Source organism: Homo sapiens, chromosome 14, assembly GCF_000001405.40.
Source record: "Homo sapiens chromosome 14, GRCh38.p14 Primary Assembly".
In the NCBI taxonomy this organism is placed as follows: domain Eukaryota; kingdom Metazoa; phylum Chordata; class Mammalia; order Primates; family Hominidae; genus Homo; species Homo sapiens.
Window position 1 is genome coordinate 69,766,014 of NC_000014.9, and position 9,341 is coordinate 69,775,354.

The 9,341-nt window shown below is 44.2% G+C and overlaps 1 protein-coding gene and 1 long non-coding RNA gene across 13 annotated transcripts, besides 5 other annotated features; one reads left to right on the forward strand and one right to left on the reverse strand.

Annotated features, from left to right (window-relative positions):
- Positions 1 to 269: 269 nt before the first annotated feature.
- Positions 270 to 1,700, reverse strand: LOC100289511 (uncharacterized). The gene has a single exon (NR_029378.1). It is a non-coding gene; the product is annotated as an uncharacterized LOC100289511 (long non-coding RNA).
- Positions 996 to 1,045: an enhancer, noted in NCBI's record as "active region_8647". NCBI's record gives its function as "activates an Ori minimal core promoter by ATAC-STARR-seq in GM12878 lymphoblastoid cells {active_cell/tissue: GM12878}" and the evidence as "EXISTENCE:reporter gene assay evidence [ECO:0000049][PMID:35858748]".
- Positions 1,086 to 1,135: an enhancer, noted in NCBI's record as "active region_8648". NCBI's record gives its function as "activates an Ori minimal core promoter by ATAC-STARR-seq in GM12878 lymphoblastoid cells {active_cell/tissue: GM12878}" and the evidence as "EXISTENCE:reporter gene assay evidence [ECO:0000049][PMID:35858748]".
- On the forward strand, positions 1,129 to 5,992 carry SRSF5 (serine and arginine rich splicing factor 5). 12 transcript variants are annotated; one of them, NM_001039465.2, is made up of 8 exons: positions 1,129 to 1,367; positions 2,125 to 2,269; positions 2,591 to 2,661; positions 2,785 to 2,883; positions 3,169 to 3,238; positions 4,454 to 4,527; positions 4,982 to 5,092; positions 5,181 to 5,992. In NM_001039465.2, exons 2-8 carry the CDS (start codon positions 2,144 to 2,146, stop codon positions 5,446 to 5,448), a joined length of 819 nt encoding a protein of 272 aa, NP_001034554.1. In that variant the 5' UTR covers positions 1,129 to 1,367; positions 2,125 to 2,143; the 3' UTR covers positions 5,449 to 5,992. The 12 variants fall into 12 exon arrangements, with proteins under 12 accessions (NP_001034554.1, XP_016877082.1, NP_001307143.1 ...); XM_017021593.3 differs by having other exon boundaries at positions 5,184 to 5,992; NM_001320214.2 differs by having other exon boundaries at positions 1,129 to 1,242.
- Positions 1,245 to 2,009: an enhancer, noted in NCBI's record as "NANOG-H3K27ac-H3K4me1 hESC enhancer chr14:70233975-70234739 (GRCh37/hg19 assembly coordinates)". NCBI's record gives its function as "activates a minimal SCP1, AML or CMV promoter by ChIP-STARR-seq in naive and primed H9 embryonic stem cells {active_cell/tissue: H9 hESC(naive and primed)}" and the evidence as "EXISTENCE:reporter gene assay evidence [ECO:0000049][PMID:30033119]".
- Positions 2,006 to 2,055: an enhancer, noted in NCBI's record as "active region_8649". NCBI's record gives its function as "activates an Ori minimal core promoter by ATAC-STARR-seq in GM12878 lymphoblastoid cells {active_cell/tissue: GM12878}" and the evidence as "EXISTENCE:reporter gene assay evidence [ECO:0000049][PMID:35858748]".
- Positions 4,502 to 5,701: an enhancer, noted in NCBI's record as "CDK7 strongly-dependent group 2 enhancer chr14:70237232-70238431 (GRCh37/hg19 assembly coordinates)". NCBI's record gives its function as "activates an origin of replication core promoter dependent on BRD2, BRD4, P300/CBP, MED14 and CDK7 cofactors, with strong dependence on CDK7, by STARR-seq in HCT116 cells {active_cell/tissue: HCT116}" and the evidence as "EXISTENCE:reporter gene assay evidence [ECO:0000049][PMID:35650434]".
- Positions 5,993 to 9,341: the final 3,349 nt, after the last annotated feature.

Below are 9,341 nucleotides of genomic sequence, written 5' to 3' on the forward strand. Positions count from 1 at the left end.
ACGCGGGAGTTAATATGGAGGGCTGTGTTTTACACCCACTTTGAAAGCACGGCATTGTCTGTTTCTAAAGAATTGTAAACTTTCATGTGTTACATTACAGAAATCTGAACGGAGAGGATTAACCAAATACCATTTGGACTTAAAAGCAGCTTGAGGCCGGGCGCGGTGGCTCATGCCTGTAATCCCAGCACTTTGGGAGGCCGAGACGGGCCGATCACGAGGTCAGGAGATCGAGACCATCCCGGCTAACACGGTGAAACCCCGTCTCTACTAAAAATACAAAAAAATTAGCCGGTGTGGTGGCGGGCGCCTGTAGTCGCAGCTACTCGGGAGGCTGAGGCAGAAGAATGGCGTGAACCCGGGAGGCGGAGCCCAGATCGCGCCACTGCACTCCAGCCTGGGCGACAGAGCAAGACTGTCTCAAAAAAAACAACAAAAAACAGCTTGAAACCTCTTCCAGCCACTCTCCCAGAGTGACGGACATGCAGAAATCTGTATTCCAGCCTCAATTCAAGACAGCCTTCTAGCTGCAGTCCCATTTTCAACATTTCATCAGTGAAAATCCTTTCATTTAAAAAATACTTCAGTGCCTTAGTCTTCTCACCACAACAAAACCACACAGCTGTGGCATGGTTGAAAAAAGAACTCGAACATCTAGGAGCTCCCTGCTTTGAGGGCAAATTTAAATTGCAAGCAGCAAGAGCTAAGGAAAGGCCAGGTATTTCTGCAAAGCTAAGTTTCTCCTAATTAGTAATCTTCTGGGTGTCTAAGAAAAACTTTAGATACAAGAAGGGTTGCCACTTTTCTCAGGAGACTCTTCTGGGAGAGATGATGATGAACCGAACGCCAAGGACTTAGCAGGGGCGAACGACGTCAACAGATGTCCCTCCAGACTCCGGCACCAGCCGGCCGAGCCCAAACGAGTTCTCGCCCCCGACCCCACCCACCGCGGGAGCAGGGTTCGGTCACTCGCAGTGTCAGAGAGGCCCACATCCTCCTAAATTTCCGGCCCTCCCAAAACTTCCGTCTTCCCTAGGTCCAACGGGGTGGACCCAAGGCCCAGGGGCGTCCCCGGAAGTGACGTAGGACGCGCCCTCCATTTTGTGGAGCGCCAGAGCTGCTAAGTGCGTCAGTTGTGGAGTGGCGTAGACGAGTTAAGTCCTGGTCTGCGTGGAGGTCGACGACTCCGTCGCAGACTACGGACCTGTCTGGGTCTCAGCCGCCAAAGACCCCGTCCGGTAGGTGAGTGGCTCACTTTGAGGGCAAGCCTTCTCGGATCGAGGCTTCTTCATGGCCGCTCAGATCGTGAGCGGCCGGGGCTGCTCTCTTTGCGGAGGATGGCGTCTAATGAGCGCAGTTGATTCGAGGTGGGCGCTGGGGCACGTCTCCCTTTTGGCATACTGTTTGAGGGGTACTGAGGTGAAAGGGCGGTCACTGTTCGGGTCGTTTTTACACAGCGGTTGTGCGCCCGTCCCTGCCAGTCTTAATGTCTTCATCTCCTGGACACGTAGAATAGTGGGCCGGGATCTCCCTGACTTTGCTGGCGATGCGGCTGGGCCTTTTGTAGGGCGGCCGCAGTGACCCCCGAGAAGGGGGTTGCTGGGAGGAGAAGGGAAGAGGGAATTTGGCACGCGCAGCTCTGCTGCCTTTGATTCCACCGCCGCCATTTTGTGGCCGCAGAGCGCCCGCCCGCTGCTGTTGGCGCAGGCGCGGTCGAGGCGTCGCGAGATTCTGGCTTCCACCCGCTGTGACGCGCCCGCGAGGCCGCCATTGGGCTGGCTTTGCGGAGGGCGCGGGCGGCTCCGCCCGCACTTCTCGGCCTTTCCTAACTGCGGCAGATGGGAGGGGGCCGGAGAGCCCGGAGAGTGTGCGGCTGCGCAGTTGGAAAGGTGGCAGTGGGCGTTGCGGTTGCTGCGGTCTGGGCCCAGTAGCGGACCGTGTTGGGAGGGAGCTGGGTTTTCATTTTGTCTGCAGGTAACCTGGCCTCATTAGAGGCTCTGTTGGCAATCTCGTTCATAACATCACTGTGTAAACATTTTATGCCGTTGATGTTTTTGATTGTTTAATCAGGCGTTTCTCTGTGACAGTCATTGCTATTATCTCGATTGAATTACTTTCTAATAGGAAGTACTAGCCGGACATCATGAGTGGCTGTCGGGTATTCATCGGGAGACTAAATCCAGCGGCCAGGGAGAAGGACGTGGAAAGATTCTTCAAGGGATATGGACGGATAAGAGATATTGATCTGAAAAGAGGCTTTGGTTTTGTGGTAAGTATTTAGAACTGGGTGAATTATCTGCTAAGTAGGTAGAGTTTTGATAAGCAGTTGTTTTCGATCTTGAGTCCGGGTGGAATATTTGCCTTCAGAAAATGTTACCCAGCCTTATGTCTGAATTTTATTGAGGCTGAAAACAACTTTAACTTGCCGGCTCACTGGAACCCCACTCCCAGTGGCTCCTTGATTAGGTTTGACTGTATGGCAGTGTCGTTAAGATACTCTTCCCATTCTGTCTCCTGATTTCAGTGCTCTTAATGTGTTGTAGAATACTCTTCTAAAGCCAATGTTAAGAGTCTTATGCTTACATTTTAGGAATTTGAGGATCCAAGGGATGCAGATGATGCTGTGTATGAGCTTGATGGAAAAGAACTCTGTAGTGAAAGGTGAGATTCCTGTGTAACTAGATAACCCTGGGACATAGAGCAGACTGGGTCTGCTGGCATATTTTTCTAAGTAGATTTATGTAGCTTAAGTGTGTAACGGAGATTTTTCTTCCCTTTTTGTAGGGTTACTATTGAACATGCTAGGGCTCGGTCACGAGGTGGAAGAGGTAGAGGACGATACTCTGACCGTTTTAGTAGTCGCAGACCTCGAAATGATAGACGGTATGTGAAGGGTGGATGGCTGCATTGAACAATTATTGTAGGGGTAGCATTTAAGATTCAGGAGTCATTAGCAGTGATGATTTTGGGTCCTGCCGTATAATCTGTTCTTCTATTCCCACGTTAGCCAGTTGTTCTTGATGAATCTATATGAGTCATAGAACACAAATCTATTGACGGAAGTCATTAGAATGGCTTGTGATATCTGATGGCTTGAACTTGCCCACAGTTGAACACAAGTGCTGTCATTGCATTTCTTCCATTGTGAATACGAATTTTCTTCCTCAGAAATGCTCCACCTGTAAGAACAGAAAATCGTCTTATAGTTGAGAATTTATCCTCAAGAGTCAGCTGGCAGGTTTGTTGAAATACAGTTTTGAGTTATTTTGATGTGGCTTTTTAAAAAAGTTAATGGGTAGCTAATGTTGTATTGTTTTATTAAAAGTAGTTTTAAATTAATGGATTTAATGGAATTGTAATTTTAAACATTTAATTAAATGTAATTTGGGGGATATTTTGAACTTTAATATTAGTGATCAAATGTAAATGTTTTGAGGATATTTTTCTTGTTTTTTAAAATCAATTTTTAACCAAATATTAAACCCTTTATTTGCCAGCCTGTCTGTGTCGTTGGCCTTATGACGAGGAGTGCCTGTGGGTTATCCTAATCGTTGTCTTGGTCACTCTTGGTTGGGCCTGGTTGACTTTGCCAGTCAGCTCCTACAGTGATCAGTTGGCCACCTCTAGATCTGTGTTTGCCGGTCTAGACGTTATCGGTGCACTTCCTTGAAGTGCCAGGTTGCAGCGATCCCAGAGCGTTGATAACGTGATCTGATCCCTAAGTTGAGACCTGTCTTCCTGTAACGCTTCCGAATAAGAGGTCCGGTCGAAAAGAGTTGAAAGATACGAAATTAGGTGGTCGTTGGAATCCTGATCGCAGTAAAGTGGTCCTTGGTAACTGCTCGAGTAGAACATGTCTGCATCCGCCAATAGTCCGCTAATAGGGAGGGCTGTGCGATTAAAGGCTTCCATCGATTGGGTAGTGTCCTTCAAGTGGGTGGCGAAGAGCCAGTCGGGCATATGTCATGAAGGTTTCTCCGACCGATTAATGGTTTGCTGCTTGACTAGCCTAGGGAAATAATAATAAAGGTAAAGTAAACTTTTTTAATGACATATGGGGCACAAAATAACTGGTGTCTTGTAAATGTTCTGTTTTTTTAAATAAAACTTCTCTACTTTAGTCTTTACTTTAAAAATATGTACTGTTTCCTTTTTTGTTGTTTTTTTGTTTGTTTTTTTTTCTTTTGTACTGAGCTCAGCATAGACTAATACTACCTTAATGTTAAAATCTGAATTTCTTTTAGCATTTTGCTTAAAAGCAATATGCTATTTGCTTATTCCGTGCCCTGACATAGATAATTTTTGAATTCTGATAGAATACAAGTGTGGTAAATGCCATGTTTGTACTTTATCTAACATCTTCTCTTTCAGTAGTCTTGTTTTTTTTATATCATGTGATTGTTTGTGTGTCCCCTTTCCTCTTCTTTGCTTAACACAATTATCTTGTGTTAAGGATCTCAAAGATTTCATGAGACAAGCTGGGGAAGTAACGTTTGCGGATGCACACCGACCTAAATTAAATGAAGGGTATGTACTGGAAACTGTGAAAGTCTTTAAAAATATCCGGAAAATTTTACTGTGAACTTAGTTTTGAGGACTTAAAATTTGAATATGTTAGAATGCAGAGATTCTCCAGAGACAATTTTGCTGCTTCCCTCCTCCCCCCCACACCTTTGGCAGTGTCTGGAGACAAGTTTGGTTGTCACAACTGGTTGAGAGAGGATGCTGTTGGCATGTAGTCAGTAGGGGCTAGGCATCCTGCTAAGCATCCCACGGTGCATAGGGAACCCCCTCAACAATGAATTGGCTCAAAGTATAACAGTGCCAAAACTTTGCTCTTTTAATGCTGTGTTATCCAGAAATAAGACTCAATAGTAGCAATAGCAAAAGTGAACATAGAAACGACTTACCTAGACTGCTGTGTGCAATGTGTGAGACTACAGGATGTATATACTTTAAAAGTGGCTGTTTTCCATTTTAGGGTGGTTGAGTTTGCCTCTTATGGTGACTTAAAGAATGCTATTGAAAAACTTTCTGGAAAGGAAATAAATGGGAGAAAAATAAAATTAATTGAAGGCAGCAAAAGGCACAGGTATCTCTAATTTTTTAAAGTCAAAAGTTGTATTTAATGGGTTTGTTGTAGAGTCTTATCTAGGCTGATTTCTTTTCATTTTTCATAGTAGGTCAAGAAGCAGGTCTCGATCCCGGACCAGAAGTTCCTCTAGGTCTCGTAGCCGATCCCGTTCCCGTAGTCGCAAATCTTACAGCCGGTCAAGAAGCAGGAGCAGGAGCCGGAGCCGGAGCAAGTCCCGTTCTGTTAGTAGGTCTCCCGTGCCTGAGAAGAGCCAGAAACGTGGTTCTTCAAGTAGATCTAAGTCTCCAGCATCTGTGGATCGCCAGAGGTCCCGGTCCCGATCAAGGTCCAGATCAGTTGACAGTGGCAATTAAACTGTAAATAACTTGCCCTGGGGGCCTTTTTTTAAAAAACAAAAACCACAAAAATTCCCAAACCATACTTGCTAAAAATTCTGGTAAGTATGTGCTTTTCTGTGGGGGTGGGATTTGGAAGGGGGGTTGGGTTGGGCTGGATATCTTTGTAGATGTGGACCACCAAGGGGTTGTTGAAAACTAATTGTATTAAATGTCTTTTGATAAGCCTTCTGCTCACATTTTTGTGAATGTCTGAAGTATATAGTTTGTGTATATTGACAGAGCTCTTTTATAACTAAAGCAAATTTAATTTTTTTGTACTAGAAAAAAATTTGAACATTTTAGTTCTTGGTTATAAAAATGTTAATTCAGAATTAGTTTAATGCCTTAATTAAACTAATTAATAGCTTTGGACACTTAAAAGAGCTCTAAATTTGCTTGTACATAAAGGCTTAATTTGTTTTCCTTGTTAGGGTCAAGGGTGTCCTCCACTCTTTAACAGCTGCTGGACAGACACATTAGAGCAGCTGTTTGTTATTGATAATAAAATATTATAAAACTACTTTTTGTCTGTTTGTCTGAAGAAGTCCTATGCTGATTATTTCTCATCCTTATACAGTAGATTTAAAACACAGAACACATCCAGAATCCTGGAGTTGGTTACGGTCTCTCTTTAAAAATAATGTTTTTGACGTCTCCAGGCTAGTGAAAAGATACAGAAGTAAGTGAATGCCAAAATCACAATTGTTGAGTTTTGTGTCCGTGGCCCCCCTGTCCCCCAAAGTTCTTTCTCTATCTCCTGAATTTATTGGCATCAGGTTACTTAAGCTTCCAGAGCCAAGAGGAGGATAGTGTGGGAAGCAGTGTTTCTTGCCTACCTTAAAGATTAGGACAGGTTTTTTTGTTTTGTTTTTGAGATGGAGTTTTGCTCTTGTTGCCCGGGCTGGAGTGCAATGGTGCGATCTTGGCTCACTGCAACCTCTGCCTCCCAAGTTCAAGCGATTCTCCTGCCTCAGCCTCCCAGGTAGCAGAGATAACAGGCATGTGCCACCATGCCCAGCTAATTTTTATTTTTAGTAGAGACGGGTTTCACCGTGTTGGCCAGGCTGGTTTTGAACTCCTAACCTCAGGTGATCCATCTGCCTGGCCTCCCAAAGTACTGGAATTACAGGCATGACCCACTGTGCCCGGCCTTGTTTTTGTTTTTTTTTGAGGCAGGATCTTGTTCTGTTTGTCTAGGCTGGAATGTGGTGGTGTGATCACTGCTCACTGCAGCCTTAACCTCCTGGGCTCAAACAATTGTCCCGCCTCTGCCTCCTGAGTAGTTAAGACTATAGGTGTGCACCACTGTGTGTGGCTAATTTTTTATTTTTCTAGAGACAGGGTCTTGCTATGTTGCCCATACTGGTCTTGAACTGGCCTCAAGTGATTCTCCTAACTTGGCCTCCCAAAGTGCTGGGATTATAGGTGTGAACCACTTTATCCAGTTGTGATGCAGTTTTGGTGGTCAGATAACGTGAATGCTTAAGGGGCTTTGACATGCTACTTTTTGTCTTGAGATATGTATGGGATAGTACATGTTTAAGGGAAAACAATAGTGCAAAATGCCTAAGGTCCTATATCCACATTAACCTTAGACTTCTATATGTGATCTTTCAAGCCCTGTCTTAGATGTGTAGAAAATGAGCTTTGTTAATACAGGAGTCTCAAGACACTTAGATATATTCTTAGTTCTGTGGGGGCTAGACTACATAAATACTGGGAACCAGTGAATAACATCTATATAGCATCTGATAGTAATAGCCAGGCACTGTTTTAAGTGCCATTACCTCTGTGTTGACTGAATCTAATACCATCATTTTACTGGTGGGAATTCAGGAATTTTTCAAAGAACAGGGATGGATTGGTGTTAAAATCTAGGAAGTCTGATTCCTAAGACCCCCACACCACACTGTCACTGTTCACGTAAAGATTTTTGCCCCTAGCTTTTCAGGGATTTGGAAGAAGGCAGAATTAGAAGCACTAGAAAAATGTAGCTTTTAGCTTCCCGAAAGCATGCGGATTGGGAAGTGGGAATCTCCATTTGGGAGAATTGAAAGGTTTTTGGTATCCTTAATTTTTAAAAGGCCACTCCCCAGCTGTTTCTAAGACTAGAACAGGCCACGGAAGCTTAAAACTGCTAATTGCAGTAAGAGGCTGAGTTTAGGAGTTGGTATACCTGTTGAATTAGTTGAGAGAACTAGGTTTATTTTAATAAATGGTTAAATCTAGATTTTCTTAGCGTCTCTGAAGGCAGTACTTAGCCTGAAGTTGCTATCAAAAGCAGCTTCTCACCCTTGGGCTTTTAAAACATGCTCCTCAGTGCAGTATGGTAGTATGTTGATGTTCTTCCCCTCTACCCCTAGACAATCAGACAAACTTTTTTTTTTTTTTGAGATGGAGTCTTGCTGTTGCCCAGTTTGGGCGATCTTGGCTCACTGCAGCCTCTGCCTCCTGGGTTCAAGCGATTCTCTTGCCTCAGCCTCCCAGGTAGCTGGGATTACAGGTGCCCATCCCCATGCCCAGCTATTTTTTTTTTTTTTTTGTATTTTTAGTACAGACGGGGTTTTAACCTGTTAGCCAGTCTGGTCTCGAACTCCTGACCTCAAGTGATACACCCACCTCAACCTCTCAAAGTGCTTGGTTTACAGGCGTGAGCCACTCTGCCAGTCTTCTTTTTTTTTCTTGGGATAGAGTCTTGCTTGGTCACCCAGGCTGGAGTGCAGTGGTGGTGTCTTGACTCACTGGAACCTCCACTTCCCAGGCTCAAGTGATCCTAATGTCTTAGCCTCCCAGGAGCTGGAATATCCCACCACCATGTCTGGCTGATTTTTGTATTTTTATTAGAGATGAGGTTTGACCATGTTGGCCAAGCTGGTCTTGAACTCCTGACTCCAAATAATCTATCTGCCTGCCTTGGCCTCCCAAAGTGTTGGGATTACAGGTGTGAGCCACTGTGCCCAGCCAAGAATTAAGCTACTTTTAATCTTAGAGGTGTTAGGGAGTACGATAAATTCCTTCTTTTGAAAAAAATGGCAGGGAGATAACAATTATGTCTCAAAAAGGGACTCTCAAAACCAGGCTTCAGATACCATGAGGAGTGTGGATGTAATCCTAAGGAAAGGTTTAGGACCTGCCTTTGTAGGGCATGGTTTAACCTTTGTTTTCTATGTTTATATTAGTTTCATCTTTATTCCTTGCTTTTTTTTTTTTTTTTTAGACAGGGTCTTGCTCTGTTGCTAGGTTGGATGGAGCGCGGTGGTGCTATCTCGGCTCACTGCAACCTCTGCTTCTGGGGTTCAAGTGATTCTCCTGCCTCAGCCTCCCGAGTAGCTGGGACTACAGGTGTGTGCCACCATGCCTGGCTAATTTTTGTATTTTTAGTAGAGATGGGGTTTCACCATTTTGGCCAGGATGGTCTCAATCACTTGACCTCATGATCTGCCCGACTCGGCCTCCCAAAGTGCTGGGATTACAGGTGTGAACTACTGCATCCGGCCATCTTTATTCCTTTCTAAGAATGGTTTGAGGCCAACCCTGTCTTCCTCAAAAGCTAAACAAATGTGTTCTTACATAACTTGTATGTAACCAAGTCTCCTAGCAGATGATGTTGGTTAGATAATAGAGAAAACAATTTGAACAGGTAGGTATATATGGATATAATAAGTAAAAATGATAGGTGGTAGCCTTGTCAAAAATCTGCGTTTTTAAGAGGATGTTAGTAACCCAAATCTGTGTTTCTCGTTTTGGTGTTGGGAGTACTTGTTAGTCCTGCACATTTGCCAAACTGATACCCGAAAACTATATTGTCTTGGTTTCATTTGTACCTGACCATACAAAATGATAAAAATCCCAAGTAACTAATAAGCATG